This window comes from Homo sapiens, chromosome 5, assembly GCF_000001405.40.
Source record: "Homo sapiens chromosome 5, GRCh38.p14 Primary Assembly".
NCBI classification, from domain to species: Eukaryota; Metazoa; Chordata; class Mammalia; order Primates; family Hominidae; genus Homo; species Homo sapiens.
In genome coordinates this window covers 170,872,432-170,895,916 of record NC_000005.10, presented here as the reverse complement: position 1 = coordinate 170,895,916, position 23,485 = coordinate 170,872,432, and the positions used below count along the sequence as shown (strand labels likewise).

General features: G+C 36.1%; 1 protein-coding gene across 19 annotated transcripts in view; it reads right to left on the bottom strand.

Annotated features, from left to right (window-relative positions):
• The window catches only part of RANBP17 (RAN binding protein 17), a 437,998-nt gene that overhangs the window by 404,099 nt on the left and 10,414 nt on the right, over positions 1–23,485 (bottom strand). For all 19 annotated transcript variants that reach the window (XR_007058628.1, XR_941108.3, XR_007058630.1 and 16 more), the window contains exons 2-4: positions 17,674–17,820; positions 14,021–14,111; positions 3,364–3,530 (exon numbers count right to left, since the gene is read on the bottom strand). Coding sequence is in view for 15 of the 19 variants with exons in the window: in XM_011534627.2 (XP_011532929.1) it covers positions 3,364–3,530; positions 14,021–14,111; positions 17,674–17,820 (405 nt within the window). In the remaining 4 variants the exon portion in view is untranslated. The remainder of the gene's footprint in view (positions 1–3,363; positions 3,531–14,020; positions 14,112–17,673; positions 17,821–23,485) is intronic.

The window sequence follows — 23,485 nt, the reverse complement described above, 5'->3', positions numbered from 1 at the left end:
TATAAAATATAAAGAAAAATCGCTATGAGTTCTATAAACAAAAGAATTTCAAACCTATTTTTTGAAAGATAAATTTGGATACACAGAGCTAAATGGGAAAAAGCTCCTCCCTTATAAATGCATGATACTCAACAAAATGTTTCCAGCACTTATAGGACAAATAATAAACTAAGTTTCAAAATACAAGAATTTAGCTTAATACCTTTTATAAGACCAAGAATAAGAATAAGCAAAAAATGCTTTTAGCTCTATAATTTGCTTAAAGCCTATTGAGATAGAGACACTCAACAATAAATAAATAATAAGTAGCTTAGGCACTAATTCAAATCTCTTGTTCTAATATCAGATAGGATCACTTAGGCTCTTTTAACATTAATTGTGCATGTATATGAAATTGTTACATACCTATAATGATGGCATGTAAAGTACACAATGCAATGAGATAAATACATGACTATCTATATAATGTTTTTAATTTAATCAGCTTCCAATTTAATCTCAAATTTTCCATCATTAAAATTCAGACTTTATATGCACATTACTAACAAACTACCCTTGTGTGAAATCATACTGGAATTATGAAAATCATAAATGCAGCATCCAATTACATTGCAATCATTTTTAAAAACTGACACAGAAGATAGATACACTTTTCAAATCTTAATTTTATAGTTGGTCATTCCTTTTAACTATCACAGAATTCCATTATCACTGGATGTAATTAAATTCAAATTATCTCAGAACAAAAAAAGGTCTCACAATTTTTGCATTTTAATTATTTATGGCCTTTCAAGACAGTCTGAGTGTCTGAACTGAGCTCCAGATTTCCTACACACTGAAACATCCATCCTATGTGTACACCAGGTTAATGTTCCCCAAAGTGTGGTACCCTGACCAATTGCTAGAACCAGCTGATTGATGACCTACAAACTCAATTCTAATTTGAAAATAGTTTGTTACTCGTCCATGACAAAATAAAGAGCATGTAACAGATTATAAAACAGCTAAGTCACAAAGTACACTAGGTCAGCTGGCTTTTTTGTCATAGCAAGTCTTTCTCAATGAAGAAGGCACTATGTTCATTTACAGTCTTACATAAGCTCCTTATCTTGCTGAAGACCGGTAATTTGAATAGCACTGCCCTAAATGACAGTAGGATCTCCTGAGTATATCAGTAGAAAGGAGACACATAAGTATGTTTGGAGTGTGGCAGCAAGAGGGCCATAATAATAGAAAAAAGAGAATGCACAAAAGTTCAGGCTGTTAAAGATGTGACAAACTTAAAATAACTTTTAGGACAAAATTCACAAAAGCTGCTAATACTCAAAGGAACCATATGATAATATTCTAGAAAACTAAAACACTAAAGCCAAAATTGACTTTCTCATGATGCAGGGTTAGGTCAAGCCATATATATATATATATATATAAAAAACACGTACTAACTATTCTATGGTGATACTATTATATAATAAACTTTCAAGCTAAAACATGTTGTTTCTTTTGGTCTTCCAGAACTGGTAAAGGTACATTGAATCCCAACTTAAGTTGAGCTTACTGGCCACTAAAGAGGGAGCTTGAGAAATGTTAGCCAACAAGAATTTCATTCAATTTCAACCCTGACTTTATTTTTAAAGAACTGCATGGTCGCCTCTTGTCTACTCAAATAAATCTTGATGAACAATCTTAGTAAAAGACAAAAGGGGGATGCTACTGTGCTTGCCAAACTTACAAATGCAACTCTGAAGTGTGAAGCTCATACTTGTCCTGAATAAACTATCCTTCTGCCCTAGTATAAACTGATCTCCTCAGAGCTAAGAACACTTATTCCTGTGGAGTTCTAAATGATCAAATATTTGTTAACCAGGTTTTAACAACATAGATAAGACAGAAGCAGCATAACCTAGCATTTCATATTCTGAGGTTTCCAGCACTGCACTATATGATGAAGTTATATCTTAGACAGGGGTTGAATTTTAAAGTTACTGCATAAAAGTAAAATCTCCGAAAGTCAAAATTGCCCATACTCAACCATGAACCAAAACTGAACCATCTATTAATCAAAACTGCCAATTTTTCCTCAAGAATACTAACAGAGCATGGATTTTTCTTTTTTTTTTTTTTGAGACGGAGTCTTGCTCTGTTGCCCAGGCTGGAGTGCAGTGGCGCAATCTCCGCTCACTGCAAGCTCCGTCTACCGGGTTCACGCCATTCTCCTGCCTCAGCCTCCCGAGTAGCTGGGACTACAGGCGCCCGCCACCACGCCCAGCTAATTTTTTGTGTTTTTAGTAGAGACAGGGTTTCACCGTGTTAGCCAGGATGGTCTCGATCTCCTGACCTCATGATCCGCACGCCTTGGCCTCCCAAAGTGCTGGGATTACAGGCATGAGCCACCACGCCCAGTCCAGATCATGTTTCTTTAGCTGGACATCAGATAAAATAGTTCTCTTCTACTTGGGAATTACGTTTGTATGAAAAAATATATACATATATCTTCAAATATCTGAATCATACTGAGCAAGGCATGACAGTCATCCTGAGTAAGAGTAAACAGGAAACAAGAGCAGATTCAGGTTTCCCTAAATCAGCCCAGGACATGGAATCACTGGCATGATTTAGTTTAATGTTTTCTTGCCTCTGTTTATTTTGTTTTGGTTTGGTTTGGTTTTTTTTTTTGGCTGTCCATATATCTGAATTTATGTAAGTTAAATGTGCATATACTATGACTTTATTTTAATCACTTAGGTTAAAAATATTGTTTTTAAAATAACTATTCTTTATTGATATATAATAGCTGTACCTATTTGATACCTATATACAATGTGTAATGATGAAATTGAAAACATTCTTGAGAAACTGATATAGTCAATGTGGTATAGTGTAAAAATTAAAAAATTAAAAAATTTATCGTAAGTTGGAGGCTTATTAAATGCTAGCTGTATGCGTTAATCAGTCACTATGCAATCTTACAGAAATTATTTAACCCCTCTAAGCCTGTTTTCTTGTTTACAAAATAAAATCTATTTCATTTTAGGTTGTGATGAACATTTAATTACATAATCTATGAAAAGCATTATATACATGTTTTATATATACAGTACATAGACATATGTGTCATAAATGTACACACATTTTGAAATTAGAAAACATGATTATTTACATTCTTCTGATTTGGAAATTATGTAACAGCACGATCCTCATTTACTAACAATAAATGATAAAGGATCCAGAGGATAAATAATAAATCATAATTAACATGGTACTGGTAGTCACAAAACAAACTATATCGCTTTAAGAAGAGCAGTATTCTAAACCAAAAAAAGCAAGTAGTGATGTTCTAACCATGTAGCAATGACTTCTTACCTGGAGAAACTTCTTCACATCAGCAATAATTTCTCTGAAGACAAATTGGTCTTTCTGAACCTCAAACCACCCCAACTTAGTGATTTTAGCAATGACTTGAATAAGAGCTTGGATGACAAAGGGAGCCAGCTTGGGCTGTGATGCCACGTAATTCAGAATGTAGTTTCCTACAAAGAAAACACTCCATGGGTCATCTGGACTTTTCAGAAACAACATAGTGTGAATCATATGAAGAAAGAGAGGTGGGGGTGGGGGAAGGGGAGGGAGAGCATTAGGACAAATACCTAATGCATGCAGGGCTTAAAACCTAGATGACGGGTTGATAGGTACAGCAAAACACCATGGCACATGTATACCTATGTAACAAACCTCCATGTTCAGCACATGTATCCCAGAACTTAATGTAAAAAAAAAAAAAAAAAAAGAATTTTGTGAACTTTAAACAAAAAAGTTGCAGTATTTGTTACAAAAAACAGAAAAAGAGGTGGCAATGACATGCTGTGACAAAAAGTTAATAGCTCTCCTCAAGACATATGTTTATTTATACAGTTCTTTTATTAGGCTTCTTTTGAAAAAGCAAATTTGTTCCAATGCATTTGATATATTAGGGAAAAACGTGAATAGAACACTTTTGTTGAATATGTCACTTTTGTTTCTGCATGATTTTATCTACCAAAAAATGCTAGGTGAATGCAGAAAACCGAAACCAGGCTGATATGGTTTGGATTTGTGTCCCTGACCAAGTCTCATGTCCCCAATGTTGGAGGAGGGACCTGTTGGGAGGTGATTGGATTATAGGTGCAGATTTCCATCTTGATGTTCTCATGATAGTAATTTTCACTAGATCTGGTTGTTTAAAGTGTGAAGCACCTCCCCCTTCTCTCTTTCTCCTGCTCCAGCCATGTAAGCCATGCCAGCTTCCCCTTCACCTACTGCCATAATTGGAAGTTTCCTGAGGCCTCCCCAGCCATGCTAACCGTACAGCCTGCAGAACCATGAGCCAATTAAACCTCTTTTCTTTATAAATCACCCAGTCTCAGATATTTCTTTATAGCAGTGTGAGAACCAACTAATATACAGGCCAACTGAACAAAACGCATATACCTCAAACATCTACTATGTATCATCAACCCCACCCATCCTTATCTGGTATTATATCTTTCCATACTATTTCAGATCATCTTTCTTTCACCACTTTACAATAACTCACAAGCTGCAACCCTTCTGAGTCCCACTTCTAAGAACAAACTTCAGGTCTTTCCCAAGGTAAAGTGTCATATTTATTGTACTATGCTTTCCTTAACCATTTAATGTGTAAAACTCTACTAACCTTTGATTTGATTTGTATCTTTTTCTAAATATGTCACTGACAAAACTTTTAAATTTTATTTTCATAATCTGATTTCTCTCATAAGCCCTGTGCTTTTTATTATGTAGCATTGCATAGCACAGTCACTTTTAGGAACATGTCATGTTATAGCAAAAGTGACTATACACTGTCTTCTTGAGGTAGCATTAAAAATACAAATAAACCCCATCTCTACAAAAAATTGTTAAAACATTAGCTGGGTATTGTGACATGCGCCTACAGTCCTACCTACTTGGGACACTGAGAATGACTATGCCACTGCACTCCAGCCTGGGTGACAGAGTGAGATCCCGTCCCACCAAAAACAAACATAAACAGTATAATATGATAAAATAAATATATAAATTCAAGAAAGCATAAGTAGAATAGTAAAGTCAAGCTTGTAATAAAGTTAATACACCAAAACTGTTAAAAGTGGATAGCAAATTCAGTTATGAGCTTTCTAGTTGACTCATGAAGTCAGATAACAAATACACCAAGAAGTCTCTCGGAAAACTACAAGAAGAATTTTTAAAAGAGAAAAAACTCCATTTCCACTTTGGCCTGAAAGGCCAGCATGCCATTTGGGAAAATAGTAAAGAAAAGGTAAATACCTCAATATTTAATTAAAAACAGCTTTGATGGAAACAACTCCAAAATCCAAGAATGTATGCAACAAGCATTCTTGATAATTGTAGTAAGATTCTTGATATTTAAAAAAGTTCTTGTAACTATTATACTTCAACCTTAATTTTTATTAATATTAAAATAGTTATACAATAAAAAAGATAAAATACATTTTGAAAAAAAGCATAATTTCCTTAGCATTAGGACAAATATCAGAGAAGTTTCTCCTACGAATCACAGTAATATGGTTCTAAGCTTTGTTGCATGTAATCTTTTATTTCAATAACAAAACATAAGAAGATGACACTGCTTCCTGAATATAAAAGAAAATCCAGTGTATTTACTTCAATTACACTTTTATTTTTAATATCCTGAAAATGTTCATCTTGCAGTGGATACAGGCAAACCCTATGTGGGTAGTAGTGACCACTAGGAGGAGGGTAATCTCAAAATAATAATAAAACAAACAAATAGGAGACAACCCAAGTTTCACATTTAAAGCTAGATACCAACAAGGACATGTTCCCAGATTGCCCAAACAAAGGTACCTAGGGCTAATAAATTCATTATCTAAGGCAGGGAAAAAAAATCACTAGAATATGTTTCTGTTACTTTAGCTGAATGTTTTACACAAAATATTCTCATGTTATGCTTTTTACACAAACTATAAGAATGTTCCAATTTAGTAAGCACCAATAATTACAATCATTTAAAACATCAGCAATCTCCTCCTCACTGGTACAATTAATAGAGAAAAGCCATACTAAGAAGAAATGGAAATGTTTGGGAAGATACATGGGAGAACAACAACCACAACAAACAGCTGGGAAAAACCCCAGACAAAAGTCAGTAGAAAGTTGGAAAGCTACACACTAGAGGTCCTTTGCGTGTCAAAAGCCTATATAACAGTAACAATAATATTTCATGTTTATGAAGCATGTCAGAAATTGTGAAGTGCTTCCCATCAAATACTTGATGTGGCTCTCATAGCAATGTGAAGATACTGCTATTATGTATTACTATTATTCTGTCTTATAGGCCAAAAATATGAAGGTCAAAAATGTAAAATGACTGGGACTCTGAATCAGGTTATTGTGGTTCATTCCGATTTTTTGTTTGCTTCCTGTTTCCAAATATTGGACAAATCATATATTTTAGTAATAATTCATAATTCAAAACTCTAAATCCAAACTTGTAGATAGTCTTTTAGAGTGTGCTATCAAAATATAAAAATAATTAAAAGAAAGGGGAAACACTCAATTTCTACCTCTGCCCCAAAAGCCAGTATGTCATTTGGGAAAGGAAAGAGACGATACACACCTCAAAATTTAACTAAAAATCCTCTGATGGAAACAACCCTAAATTCTAATAGTGAGAAGTATACACTATAATCTATGTCTAGAGAGTTAACTTATGAACTATCTGGAGAGAGAGTGTGAGAGAGAGAAAGAAAGGGCAAGCAAAAGAAAGCAAGGAGAGAAAGAGAACATGGAACAAAAAGAAACTACAAAAAAAAAGAAAGAAAAAAGATATATGAGGCTAGTTCAATATTCAAAAATTAATTAATGTAATCCATCACATCAATAAGCTAAAGAAAAATCACATGATAACATAAATAGATGCAGAAAAAGTATTTGACAAAATTCAACATCCATTGATGTTGAATGGTGATGAATGAGATGAAAACTCTCAGCAAACTAGGAATAGAGGACAACTTTCTCAATTTGATAAAGTACATCTACAAAAAACCTACAGCTAAAATCATATTTAATGGTGAGAAACTTGAAGCTTTCTCACTAAGATTGGGAAAAAAGCAAGATGTCCCCTCTCACCACTGCTTTGCAACATAATACTGTAAGTCCTAGAAAATGCAATAAGAAAAAGAAATAGAATGCATATAGATTAAGAAAGAAGAACTAAAAGTGTCTTTGCTCACAGATGGCATGATATGTAGAAAATATGAAAGAACTGACAAAAAATTATGAACTAATAAATGATTACAGCAAGGTTACACAATATGGGTTAATATACCAAAGTCAATCACTCTGCTTTACCAGCAACTGGAACTTGAAATAAAACACAAAATAACTTACATTAGTACCCTCAAAAATGAAATATTAATACTTAGATTTAAATCTAACAAAATATGTAGGTACAAGACCCATATGAGGAAAATTACAAAACTATAATAAAATAAACCAAAGAAGATCTAAATAAATGAATACATATTACATGTTCCTAGACAGGAAACTCAACACTGTCAAGATATCAGTATTTTCCAACTATATCTAAAGATTCAATGCAATCCCAATGAAAACCCCAGTAATTTATTTTGTGTATATGAATGAACTGATTCTAAAAGTTATATTGAGAGGCAAAAGCCAACACAATACCGAACACCATACCGAACACAATACCAAAATAGCCAACACAATACCGAAGAAGAACAAAGTTGGAAGACTGACACTACCCTACTTCAAGGCATACCATAAAGCTACAGTAATCAAGACAGTTTGGTATCAGCAAAAGAAATGACACATCAACAGCTACAGTTTGAATGTCTGTCCCCTCCCATACTCATGCTGAAACTTAACTGCCACTGTAACATCTTAAGAGGCAGGATCTTTAAGAGATGAGTACACCAAGAGTGCTTTGCCCATATGAATGGTTTAATGTCATTATTTCAGGAGTAGGTCCTTTAAAAAGGACGATTTCAGCCCCCTTTTGTCACTCTCTTTTGCCTTCTCTTTGCCCTCCCACCATGGGATAATGCACCAAGACGGCCCTCACCAGATGCCAGCCCCTTGATCTTGAACTTTCCATCCTCCAGAACTGTAAGAAATACATTTCTTTTTTGATAAATTACCCAGTCTCAGCTATTCTGTGACAGCAGCACAAAACCAACTAAGATGCCAATCAACAGAACAGAATAAAAAAACCTAGAAATAGACCCATATAAATACAGTCAATTGATCTCTGACAAAGGAGCAAAGGGAGTAACAAAATATGTTATGAATCTTTTAAATATGAGAAAAGTCTTCTCAGCAAATAGTGCTGGAACAACTGGACATCCACATGGAAAAAAGGAATCTTGACATAGACTACATGCCCTTCACAAAAATTAACTTAAAATGGTTCACAGACCTAAGTGTAAAACATAAAGCTATAAAACTCCTAGAAGATAAAATAAGAGAAAATCTAAGTGACCTTGGTTCAGTGATGACTTTTTAGATGCAACACCAAAGGCATAATCCACGAAAGAAAGAATGAATAAGGTAAACTTTGTCATGAAAATGAAAAATTTCTGCTCTGCAAAAGACAATGTCAAGAGAATAAAAAGATAAGCCACAGATCGGGAGAAAATATTTGCACAAGACATATCAAAGGAACCGCTTTCCAAACTGCACAAAGAACTCTTAAAACTCAAAAATAAGAATACAATCTGATTAAAATATGGGCCGATGACCTTAACAGACACCTTTCCAAAGAAGGTAACAGTTCACCCTTGAACAACATGAGTTTGAACTGTAGAGAACCACTTATGCATGGATTTTTTTCAATAAATATATTGGAAAAATTTTTGGAGACTTATGACAATTTTTAAAAACTCGGACATAGCCGGGCATGGTGGCTCACACCTATAATCCCAGCACTTTGGGAGGCTGAGGCAGGCGGATCGCTTGAGCTCAGGAGTTCAAGACCAGCCTGAGCAACATGGTGAAACCCCATCTCTAGAAAAAAAATACAAAAACTTAGCCAGGCATGGTAGTCACATCTGTAGTCCCAACTACTTGGGAGGCTGAGGTGGGAGGATCACTACTTGAGCCCGGGAGGCAAAGGGAGGAGTGAGCCAAGATCACACACTGCACTCCAGCCTCAGTGACAAAGTGAGACTCTATGTCTCAAAAAAAAAAAAAAAAAAAAAAAGGCACCTCAAATGAATGGTGTAGTGTTGAAATATTTTTAAAAATAAGAAGGTATAAATGTAGATACTACTCTATTTTATCATTTACTATCATAAAATATACACAAATCTATTATAAAAAGTTAAAATTTATCAAAACTTACACACACGCTTAGATTGTACATGTTCCAACCACAGTCAAGGTTTATGTAGTCAGGTTTATGATCAGGACTGCCCTTATCTACAAAGCTGCTAATCTCCTAGCCTTGAAGGGAAAAAATAAATACCAGCTGCCAGTCTTCTGGCTGTATAACAAGGCCTAGAAGAGAACCTTTTTCTGGATTGGTTTCATAGATGCTTTGTCCCTGAAGTTACTAAGTACCTTGCCGGTAAGGGAATACCTTTTAAAGTTCTTTTCATATTGGACAATGTCCCTGGCCACTCAGAACCCCATGAGTTCAATGAGGACATTAAAGTGGTCTATGTGCCCCTAAACACATCTCTAATTTAGCCTCTGAATTAGGGGTCATACACGGTACACACGGTACTGTATAAAAAGGATTGTCAACACTATGGAAGAGAACCCCCACAGAGAGAACATTCATGAAAGTCTGGAAGGATTTTACCACTGAGGATGCCATTGTTGTTATAGAAAAAGCCATGAGAGCCATCAAGCCTGAAACAATAAATTCCTGCTGGAGGAAGCTCTGTCCAGATGTTGTGCATGACTTCACAGGATATACAACAGCAGAGCCAGTCAAGGAAATCATGAAAGAGACTGTGGATGTGGCAAAAAAAAAAAAAAAGGTGGAGAGTGAAGGGTTTCAAGATATGGATCTTGGAGAAATTCAAGATCTAATAAACCTAATAGGTAGTTTTCATATGAAACATTTTTTAAAAATCAAATATATGTTTCAATGGGCACTACTGTTTACAAGCAACATTAAAGAGGACAAAACAACACTTATTTAATAGGGACAAATACACCACAAGGTACAGGATCAGTGCAATAAATTCACAAAACTATATTACAGCTAGTTAATCAGTTTAAGAATTGTTCCCAAGTCAGTCACATTTTTGGCCCTCAGAAGTGCATTCCTACAGATTTCAACTACTCTAAACTTTTAGCTACAAAGAGGTTAAGAATGATTATAAGAGGCTTTCCAAGGAGTTACAAAATCTTTGTAGACCAGACTCAACTATTATCACTGCAAGCCTGCTCTCACCAACAGCTCTTGCATTTTTCAGGAAGAAATCTCCAGGAAAAGAGTCACACACCAGTGTAGTCACTATCTCCTATGCCAAACCTAGGGAACTGAAATGGATGATATTACCCCAAAATGAGAATTCTGAGGTTTATCTTTAAAGGCTTATTCCAATCTCAAAGATTAGTCAGAGAAGATTATCTTCTACTGAAATAAATCTTGGCTAAATATAGAAAACTTCTGTACTTTACTGCTGTTCTTCGAGTAAAAGTCATAGACATGAGTCTTAACCTACTGTATACTATAGCTAAAGTCAGCTGAAAATCTGAAATTAAAAGTATGCTAAAATTCCTGAATCTTTTGGAAGTCTGCTACTAAAAAGCCTTTAAGGATTTACTAACGTCAACTCTAAGTAAAGGCGACAAAAGGTCTAAGCCTGTCAGACATTACTCACTTGAAAAAAAAGATCAAAGTTTCCTACAAATTGCTAAGTTTTACACAAGGGAGAAACCTACACCTACTAGGGAATCTAACAAAAGAAACATCAGAATTTACAGATGATTTTATGGAGATGAGTGCTTCTGAACCAGTGCCACATGATGAGGGAGAAGATGTAGTAGAAACAGCAGTGCCAGAAAAAAAAAAATTAACATTGGACAATCTGGCAGAAATGTTTCCATTATTCCAGACTTCTTTCAGGACATGGACCTTTCTATGATACAGGGCACTGAATTTAAAGTGAACACAGAAGGATTGGTACTTTATAGAAACATTTTTAAAGAAATGAAAAAGCAAAAAAGTCAGACAGAAATTACAATGTATTTCCATAAGGTTATACCTAGTGCTCCTGCCTTTCCTGCCTCCTCTGCCTCTGCCACCCCGAGACCGCAAGACCAACCTCTCCTCTTTCTCTTCCTCAGCCTACTCAATGTGAAAATGATGAGGATGAAGATCTTTATGATGATCCACTTCCATTAATGAATAGTAAATACATTTTATCTTTCTTTTAATTTTCCAAATAATATTCTTTTCTCTAGCTTATTCACAGAATATAGTATATAACACATATAACATACAAAATATGGATTAATCAGCCTGTTTTTATGTTATTGGTAAGGCTTCTAGTCAACAGTAGACTATAAGCAGTTAAGTTTTGGGGGAGTCAAAAGTTGTGACTTTTTGATTGCGCAGGGGGTCAATGCCCCTAATATCCGCATTGTTCAAGGGTCAATTGTACAGAGGTCAAATAAGCACATAAAAAGGTGCTGTATATCATATGTTCTCAGGGAAATACAAATTAAAACAAGGAGATACCACTACACATCTATCAAACTAGCCAAAATCCAGAAAATGGCAAATGCTGGCAAGGATGTGGTGCAACAGGAACTCTCACTCATGGCTGGTGGGAATGCAAAGTGGTGCAGCCACCTTGAAAGACAGTGTGGTGGTTTCTTACAAAACTGAACACACTCTTAACATATAATCCAGCAATTGTGCTCCAAGGTATTTATCCAAGGGAGCTGAAAATGTTTGGGCACACAAAAACCCACATATGTATGTTGATAGCAGCTTTATTCATAATTGTCAAAACTTGGAAGCAACCAAGATGCCCTTCAGTAAGTGAATGGATAAACTGCGGTATACCCAGACAACAAAGAATTATTCAGCGCTAAAAAGAAATGAGGTATCAAGCCATGAAAAAAACATGGAGGAACCTTAAATGCATATTACTAAGTGAAAGAAGCCAATGTGAAAAGCCTACATGTATGATTGATACCTCAGGCTGTATGATTCCAACTATATCATATTCTGGAAAAGGCAAAGCTATGGAGACAGTAAAAAGATCAGGGTTGGGGGAGGGTGGGATGAATAGGCAGAGAAGAGCGAATTTTTAGTGCAGTAAAACTATTCTGTATAATACTATATTGGTGGATACATGTCATTGTATTAACACATTTGTCAAAATCCATAGAAATACAACACCAAGAGTGAACCCTAATGTAAATTACAGACTTTGGTTAATGATGATGTATCAATGTAGGTTCATCAATTGTAACAAATGTACGACTTTGGTGCAGGATGTTGATAGATGGGAAGCTGTGCGTGTGTGGCAGAAGGGACTATACGGAAGTCCTCTGTACTTTGTGCTCAATTTTGCTGTGAACCCAAAACTGCTCTAAAAAAATTAAGTCTATTTAAAAGATGTGTATTGAAAAGTATAATAAACAAAATCACAAGTTTTATGACTTAGCTTTACACTATTTGAACCCTTATTTTTAAAACTGTAAACTCCTTTCCTTTGCTTTCTTAAGTATGCAAGTCCAACAGTGGATAAATCCTTCTCAAGGCTTTCTGCAGTACCTAAGACTCAGAGTGCTTATAAAAATAACAGTCAATATAGAGGAAAACAAGGTATCATTGTGAGATTTTGACCAGTCAAATTTAAACTTAAAGATCCATCACATACAATACATTTTAACTTTTCTGATAAATATAAATTATGTTAACCTTGAGGCTGAAGAACAGAAATGAGTCAACAATCTATTTCTAATATGAACAAAGATGACCCAAAAAACCCCACACCTCAATTATTACAATTTTGTCCATATGAAATGCAAGCTACTTACATACACACAAAAACTTAAAATACATTAACTCCAAAAAACATACTGCTACTTTATAAAATCATTTTTTCAAGTAAAGTTCCAAGACTGTTTATCCATATATAAATTATCTTCCTAATAAGAACCTGCTTTTATTTTACATATACCCCAAATGATTTTGATATAGCATCCTGAAAAACACCAGAGAGCTGAATTCTGTCCTGTCATTCAGTTGCATACCAAGTTAAGATAATGACTAAAAGCCTGGACTCTAAACAGGTAGAGTAGCTTTGAATCATAACCCTACTACTTTCTAGTTGTGTGATCTCGGGCACGTGACAGAGCCTGTCTGCAAATCTAACTTCCTCATTTGTGAAATGAGGATAACTCAAAAATCTTATTTGGTGGATAAAATGAGATAGTACAAATCTTAACAAATAGTACACAAAATGCTAGTTATTGTTTATCATTAAATAAATGCTTTTTTGGCCGGGCATGATGGTTCACATCTGTAATCCTGGCACTTTGGGAGGCCAAGGAGGGCGGATCACGAGGTCAAGAGATCAAGACTATCCTGGCCAACATGGTGAAACCCTGTCTCTACTAAAAATACAAAAATTAGCTGGGTGTGGTAGCGTGCACCTGTAGTCCCAGCTACTCGGGAGGCTGAGGCAGGAGAATTGCTACGCCAGGAGGCGTAGGTTGCAGTGAGCTGAGATCGCGCCACTGCACTCCAGCCTGGTGACAGAGCAAGACTCTGTCTCAAAAAAAGAAAAAAAATGCTTTTTTGATTAGACGTTGCTTTATGTAACACATCACTGTTCATCACAGATGAGTAAATGAGACTTGATACTCATGTTTTTAAAAATGACAGACATAAAAAATTTGCAATCCTAGTAACAGTTTAGTATATTTAAAAGAAAAAGATTTTTAAAGCGCAGTTGGTTAAAAAGCATAATAAGCCACTTACTGATGTCCATCCTCTGCTCAACAGGTAAAGGACTGACTCGGCTGACAAGTTTTGAAAGACATGTTGCTGCAAGGAGCTGAGCATAGGATGTCTGTAAAGAATAATTTTATTTATTATTATCATAAATGAAATTAAAATAAAGCATTGTGATAGAGATGTTCTTCTAAGCAATAACAGAAATTCTTCCGGTTTTCCAAACTGGCAAATTTACAATAGATAAAATATGTCAACTTGAGATACATACATACAGAAAAGGATACACATACACAGGCATACAATCTCTTAAAAGAAATCATTAGTTGAGGGAGATGTAGACAGCCATCTCAAATAACAATAAGCAAAGAGGAGAAATAAAGCAAGTTCAAATAAAATACAGTACTTTTACCATGGTCTACAGCCCTACATCATCTGGCCTCTGATTATCTCTTCAAATTCATCTGATTCCATTCTTGACTTTGCTCTGACCATGACAGCCTTTAGGTTCCTTTCCAAATCTTCCCCACCCTGACCTCCGTGTTCCTTGAAACCCATGTCTGACTATATTCTCTCTGGCCCCCAATTATCTTAATACTATACTCAAACTGTCTAAACGCATGCTCACCCTTGAAAATTTGGTTCATGTATTCACTCCACCTCCTAGAAATTCTTGCAAAGATACTCCCTCTTTTTTTCTCTAGACCAGAGGCTGGCAAACTATGGCCCTTGACCAAATCCTGCCTGTTTTTACATGGGTTGTGACCTAAGAATGTTTTTTGCAATTTTAAACAGCTTTTCAGCTGTTCAAAAAAATCAAAACAATATTTTGTGACAGAAAAATATATGAAATCTGTATTTTGGTGTCCATAAAGTTTATTAAAACACAGCCATGCTCATTCATTTACACACTGCCTATGGCTGCTTTCATGCCACGATGGCAGAATTGAATAGCTAAAACAGAGACCACATGTGGCGCTCAGTGCTTCCTACTGCTGCTCAGCGTATCATAAACCACAGTGAGGTAGCTACAACTCTACAGTGCCTAGAGAGCCATGGGTGTTGTCATGACATGACACATACCTTTTATTATTACCAGCACATGTCTATCATATCGAAATAAGAAAAGATAAAAATGGACTTCAAATATCTAATTTTTAAGGCACAATGGAGTATGGACTATTCTTTCATTGATTACATAGCAAAACAATGTGCTTTTTATGTAATGGTACTATGGTTGTCCTAAAAGAATACAATACATGCTGACAATATCAGACCAAGCAATATCCCCAATATTCCCATCACAATATTCCCAACTCAGGAAATCAAAAGTCAGAAAAAATAGAAAATTGGATATCTCATCATAGTAGACTGTCTTTACAAATATAAAAAATGAGACTGCAACCAAAGTTTCCAAGTGGCTCATTTGTTAGCCAATCACACAGCCATTTACCGATGATGAGTTAATTAAATCAACATTGTTTTATTACAGCAGCCAAAGTTATATGTGCAGAGAAAATAAGATTACTAGTTTCTGGTGGGAGCAAATTCTCAAAGAGCTGAAGACACTGGAACAACATCAAAAGTCAATTTGAAAACAAGACAAATGATTTGGAAAGGTTCTCCTTAAGTCTTGATGAGTGGACAGATGTTTCTTATAATGCTCATACCATTAATGTTACCAATACTTACTATCTGTTTATTCTAGAAGTCAATGCTGAGTGTGAAGCAACTAAAGAATTGGCCTCTATGAAGACTGTGGGAGAACTACAGGACAGAATATTTCCAAAGAAGTTGAGGACACATTAATTCAATATAAACTGAAGTAGAATCTGCTACGATATGTCACACTAGTGGTAAAACATATGGAGCGGAAAAGGGCTTAGCTGAACAAATTTACAAAGCTTGTGAAAAATGTAAGATGTTTAAAGTCTATGGTTATTCACCATATTATTCATCAGCAGATACTGTGTGGTAAATATATGAATCTATTGTAAGTTAATAAATCAGTAGTGTTAACAGTGGACTTCATTCACTTTTGTGAACTTTAGCTCTGTTAATTTCTGTAAGATAGAGAAGCAGTATCTGAATATTCTGTGTTGGAAACAATATCCTTACTTGTCTCCTCACACAATAGTTTAATAGCTTATCAGTGATAAGTTTTTACTGCTATTTTTTTAGCTCAGGGATAAGGCTAAAATTTTTCTGAATGTCTCATTCAGAACAACCAAGTCACCATTGTTCAACACGAAATGGCTTTGGAACTTACTTTTTGTTGCAAAATTGATAATGTTCCTCAATAAATTCAACCAAAAATACAAAATTGCCTAAAAAGTGCTTAGAACCTATATGCAGAACTTATACTGCAGTAAAGCCATTTTGATAACATCATTTGAAATGCAAGTAATGTCAGGCAGCTTTATATACTTCCCACATTGTCAAAAGTTAAAACAAGTAGTGAGCTCTCTATTCAGAGATATATTTTCTGAGCTTCAACTACAGCTCCAGCTTCAGATCTTGATGCAAATGTAAAGGAAATTTCCATATTATAAAATCCATTTAACTGTGCAATTAAGAGCTCCCACTTAATCTTCAATTGGAAGTGGTCAATCTGCATATAATGACATGCTAAAAGGCAAATATCAACATTTAACAGAATTTTTTAAATGCCTTGTAAATGATGAATGTGCTTAATTATAATCATATGCTCATGGACTGATATTAGTATTTAGCAGTACCTATCTATGTGAAAAGATACTTTCAAATATAAAATATGTAAAATCTCATTATAGATCAGCATTAACATATGAACATCTGCAATCAATGATGATGATAGAAAACAACTCTGAACTCCAGTTATTAATAGAAAAATGTTATCCGCCCAAAAACAGTTCTATTCTCTTCATTAACAGACCTGTATTATTAAAAAGTCTGTATTAGATTATTATATTTTGAATCTCATCAATAAAACTTTGTAGAAATTTGTTTTTTCTCTTTCTATAGATGTTCTTACAAAATATCTTCCATTTTGTCTCCTGGCCCAGAAAGTCTACAATATTTGCTATCTGGCCCTTCACAGAAAAAGTTTGACAACTCTGCTCTAGACCACACAGTCTCTTACTGCAATCGTTTCATAGCTATTTAGGTATCTACCTCTCCAACTAAACAAACTGCTACTTTAATTCATGTACATAAATCAAGTAAGCAGTACAGCATCTGATTTGACATTTAAATATTTTACTAAATGAATATGAATGTCTAGACTATGAATATCTAGATGGGAGGCAGGCAAGAGGTAATCAGCATGCTTTCGAATCATCCTTTCATGTTTCTGAGGTAATTACAATCTGCCTCCCCTATCTAGATTTTTTTAAGTTGTTAGTCAACTTCCTAAAAATGTAAATTTGCCCACTAATATGAGACATAAAAAGAGACCAATAGTAATCAAGAAACTATCTCAATTCATTCCTATTTCATTTCCTGGCTCTTCCCTAAGTTTGCTTTCCAGGTTTTCCAATTCTTTTCCTGATTAACCCCTTTGACAGTGAAACTATAGTTTCACAAAAACAAAAAAACCATGTGGCAATATCTATCAGTTACCATTGCTAACACACGAGTTCATTAACAATGACATACATCTACTGATCTTTCATGGTTAATCATTGTTACCAAATACTTACTGTTCCTTGTTCTAATAAAAGTTGACACTTGCTGAGACATTCTGGACTGTCAATAAGTTCCAAGAGTGCTTTCTCAGCCTCTATTCTTTGTGTAAGATCAGTCCCTATGTAGAGATGAGTACATAACACTTCCAATTCAGCCAAACTCTTCAAAGAAAAAAAAATTAACATTTTACTTCAATGAAAAAAATGAGGTAAATATTTAACCACAAAAAACAAGGGATACAAATATCACATGTGTATTCATTAATTCAATACATGTTTATCGATATACAACTACTTACTAGGGGATACAGTTGCAAACAAAACAGGCCCATCTCCTACTCCCCAAATTATTTACTTACAAATTGATAGTTCTGCAATGGAAAAGTACAAGAAAGGGAGAACTTGTCTACAACAAGGATTTGGAAAGGTAGGCCTCAAGAAATAATATTTATGCTGAGACCTACAACAGTGAATCAGATTTTAAAAAGACTAGAAGGCAGTCCAGGCAAAGAAAGAACATTTACCAGGGTCCTTCAGTAGAGTGGAATTTAGTCATCTCAAAGCATTAAAGGTCAGTGCGGCTGATAAACACAGCAAGGAGATACCAGATGAGGTTAGGGAGATGGATGGGGGAAATGATCATGCACAAGTTGCAGATAACCAAATTTATATTCTTTCTCAAATTTTAAGAATTTAAGGCCGGGCATGGTGACTTATACCTATAATCCCAGCACTGTCAGAGGCCAAGGCGGAAGGATCGCTTGAGCCCAGGAGTTCAAGACCACCACAGGCAACATGGCAAAATCCCCTCTACAAATACAACAAAAGTAGCTGGGTATAGTAGGGTACACCTGTAGTCCCAGCTATTAGAGGGCTGAAGTGGGAGAATCGCTTGAGCCCTGGAGCTTGAGACTGCAGTGAGCCTTGATACTATCATTGTACTTCAGCGGGTGACAGAGCAAGACCCTGTCTCAAAAATATATATATATTATTTTTATTATATGTTGATTTCGGGCTTCTGAACCAACAACTCAAAGTGCTGCAGGATTTTCAGGAACTTTGACTTGATCCCATGGTATTTCTAGCAATGTAATAACCAGTTATGTTAAAGTCTCCTATTTTACAAGCATAAAGACTAAAGCATTCTGTTCATCATCCTATCTTGATGATATAAATCTAATCTCATGACGATCTGGGACACATGGAAACCATCTAAAAAAAGAATTAAAAAATGAGTTCAGCACTCCTCTCCAAAAAATTTTTTTGTTAAAGAGGTCTTCTGAAAACAAATTACCTCACTTTAAATTTGAATTAGAGAATCAGTCTCTGAAAGAAAAAATATTGGCACAGATTTCAATGTCAGGTAGGCATATGAAAACAATGGGATATTCCTTTTAAAAAAATGCAATTTTTTTGTCCTTTCTAGCCTGAATTTTATGTGGTAACCTTATAGCTACACTAGCCCACACATTCCCTCATGTGCATATACCTTCTCATTAAAGGAATACACAAGTAACACCAAAATGAGACCTACTCTAGCTTCCATTATTCCTTTTACTTCTCTCTTCCTCTCTCCTTCTTAGCGCTTTTATAGCATTTTCCATTTCCCTAACTACATCAGAGCCCAGCATCCCAGATTTGGAAATTTCCTGCTAGAGTAAACACAGAAGTCCAAAAATAAGATTTCAAATAGGCTGATTAAGATAAAGAACCTCAAATGAACTACATTTTAAACATCTCCCCCACCTAGATTAGCCCAAACAAACCCAGATTACTACTACATACTGTTCACAACAGGAAAATGCATACAATCTTTATAGTTCATGAATACGTAAAAATTATATTGTTTTATCCAGGTAAGAAATACAAAAATAGGGGGTCAAGATGGCCAACTAGAAGCAGTGGCGATCGGAGGCTCCCACTGAGAAGAACCAAAACAACATGCAAATCCCACACTGATAACCAAGGTATCCAGGTTCTGTCACCAGGACTGACTAGGCAGTTGGGGTAACCCACAGGGAGGAGGGAAGAGCAAGGTGGTACATTGGCCCACCTGAGAGCCACACAGGGCAGGGGAGCCCCTACTCCCAGCCAAGTGAAGCGGTTGGTGCCCCTCGAGGACAGAGATCCCAGAGAAAGGAACAGGCACCTGTCTCTGCCGTTCTCCAGCCTCCTCAGGTGACATCTCCAGGTGCAGGAGTGACCCAGACTAACAAGGCCTGAAGTGAACTCTCAGCAAACCACAGCAGCCCCACAGAAGAGGGACCTGACTATTGAAAGAAAAACAAACAGAAAGCAACAACAGCAGCATCAACAAAAAGAGTCCCCACAAAAACCTCATCCAAGGGTGAGCAGCCTCAAAGATCGAAACTAGACAAACTCATGAAGATGAGAAAGAATCAATGAAAGAATGCTGAAAACCCAAAAGGCCAGAGTGCTTCTTCTCCAAATGATAGCAACACCTCTCCAGGAAGGGCAGAGAATTGGACAGAGGATGAGATGGACAAACTGACAGAAGTAGGCTTCAGAAGCTCAGAACCATAATAAAAGGCTACAGGAGCGCTAACTAGAATAACCAGTTGAGAGAGGAACATAAATAACCCGATGGAGCTGAAAAACACAGCACGAGAACTTTGTGAAGCATACACAAGTATCAATAGCCAAATCAATCCAGCAGAAGAAAAAGTATCAGAGCTTGAAGACTACCTTGCTGAAATAAGGCAGGAGAGAAAAAAGAATGAGAAGAAATGAACAAACCTCTGAGAACTATGGGACTACGTAAAAAGACCAAACCTATGACTGATTGAAGTACCTGAAAGAGACAAAGAGAGTGGAACCAAGTTGGAAAACACACTTCAGGATATCATCCAGGAAAACTTCCCCAACCTAGCAAGACAGGCCAACATTCAAATTCAGGAAATACAGAGAACCTCAGTAAGACGATCAACCCCAAGACACATAATCATTAGATCCTCCAATGTCAAAATGAAGGAAAAAACATAAAGAGCAGCAGGAGGGAAAGGCCAGGTCACCTACAAAGGGAAGCCCATCAGACTAACAACAGATCTCTCTGCAGAAACCCTACAAGCCAGAAGAGAGTGGGGGCCAATATTCAACATTCTTAAAGTCAAGAATTTTCAACCCAGAATGTCATATCTGGCCAAACTAAGCTTCGTAAGAGAAGGAGAAATAAAATCCATTTCAGACAAGCAAATGCTGAGGGAATTTGTCACCACCAGGCCTGCCTTCCAAGAGCTCCTGAAGGAAGCACTAAATATGGAAAGGAAAAACTGGTACCAGCCACTGCAAAAACACACCAAAATACAAAGACCAAGGACACCATGAAGAAGCTGCATCAACTAACGGGCAAAATAACCAGCTAGCATCATGATGACAGGATCAAATTCACACATAACAATATTAACTTTAAATGTAAATGGGCTAAATGCCCCAATAAAAAGACACAGACTGGCAAACTGGACAAAGAGTCAAGTCCCATCAGTGTACTGTATTCAAGAGACCCATCTCACATGCAAAGACATACATAGGCTCAAAATAAAGGGATGTAGGAAAATTTACCAAGCAAATGGAAAGCAAAAAAAAAAGCAGGGGTTAAAATCCTAGTTTCTGACAAAACAGACTTTAAACCAACAAAGATCAAAAAAGACAAAGAAGGGCATTACATAATGATAAAGGGAACAATTCAACATAATGAGCTATCCTAAATATATATGCAACCGATGCAGGAGCATCCAGATTCATAAAATGAGTTCCGAGAGACCTACAAAGGGACTTAGACTCCCACACAATAATAGTGGGAAAATTTAACACCCCACTGTCAAAATTAGGTAGATCAACAAGACAGAAAATTAACAAAGATATTCAGGACTTGAATTCAGCTCTGGATCAAGGGGACCTGATAGATATCTACAGAACTCTCCACCCCAAAACAGAATATACATTCTTCTAGTGCCACATGGTACTTACTCTAAAATCAGACACATAACTGGAAGTAAAGCACTCCTCAGCAAATACAAAAGAACTGAAATCATAACAGTCTCACTGACCACAGTGCAAAGTAGAACTCAAGATTAAGAAACTCACTCAAAACCACACAACTACACAGAAATTAACCTTGCTCCCGAATGACTCCTGGGTAAATAATGAAATTAACGCAGAAATCAAGAAATTCTATGAAACCAATGAGAACAAAGAGCCAACATACCAGAATCTCTGAGATGTACCTATAGCAGCATTAAGAGGGAAATTTATAGCACTAAATGCCCACTTCAGAAAGTTAGAAAGATCTCAAATCAACACCCTAACATCACAACTAAATGTACTAGAGAAGCAAGAGCAAAGAAATCCAAAAGCTAGCACAAGACAAGAAATAACTAAGATCAGAACAGAACTGAAGGAGATAGAGACACGAAAAATCCTTCAAAAAAAGTCAATAAATCCAGGAGCTGGTTTTTATAAGAACTTAATAAAATAGATAGACTGCTAGCTAGACTAATAAAGGAGAAAAGAGAGAAGAATCAAATAGACACAATAAAAATGATAAAGGATTATCACTACTGACCCCACAGAAATACAAACTACCATCAGAGAATACTATAAACACTTTTATGCAAATAAACTAGAAAATCTAGAAGAAATGGAAAAATTCCTGGACATATACACCCTCACAACACTAAACCAGGAAGAAGTAGAATCCTTGATTAGACCAATAGTTCTAAAATTAAAGCAGTAAAAAAATAGCCTACCAACCAAAAAAGTCCAAGATCAGACAGATTCACAGTCGAATTCTACCAGAGGTACAAAGAGGAGCTGATACCATTCTTTCTGAAACTATTCCAAACAACTGAAAAGGAGGGACTCCTCCCTAACTCATTTTATGAGGCCAGCATCAACCTGATACCAAAAGTTGGCAAAGACACAACAAGAAAAGAAAACTGCAGGCCAGTATCCCTGATGAACATCGATGTGAAAATCCTCAATAAAATACTGGCAAACCAAATCCAGCAGCACATCAAAAAGCTTATCCAAGCCCAGTGCCATGGCTCACGCCTGTAATCCCAGCCCTTAGAGAGGCCAAGGTGGGTGGATCACCTGAGGTCAATAGTTCAAGACCAGTCTGGCCAACGTGGCAAAACCCCATCTCTACTAAAATACAAAAATCAGCCGGGCACGGTTTCACGTGCCTGTAGTCTCAGCTACTTGGGAAGCTAAGGCAGAAGAATCTCATGAACCCTGGAGGTGGAGGTTGCAGCGAGCCAAGATTGCACCACTGCACTCCAGTCTGGGTGACAGAGTAAGACTCCGTCTTAAAAAAAGAAAAAAAGAAAAAAAAAGCTTATCTACTACAATCAAGTCGACTTCATCCCTGGGATGCAAAGCTGGTTCAACATATGCAAATCAGTAAACATAATCCATCACATAAACAGAGCCAATGACAAAAATCACATGATTATCTCAATAGAATGATGCAGAAAAATAGAATGATGCAGAAAATGCCTTCAAGAAAATTCAACAACCCTGCATGTTAAAAATTCTTAATAAACTAGGTATTGATGGAATATATCTTAAAATAATAAGAGCTATTTATGACAAACCCACAGCCAATGTCATACTGAATAGGCAAAAGCTAGAAGCATTCCCTTTGAAAACTGGCACAAGACAAGGATACCCTCTCTCACCACTCTTATTCAACACAGTATGGGAAGTTCTGGCCAGGGCAATCTGGCAAAAGAAAGAAATAAAGGGTATTCAAATAGGAAGAGACGAAGTCAAATCATCTCTGCAGACAACATGATCCTACAATCTA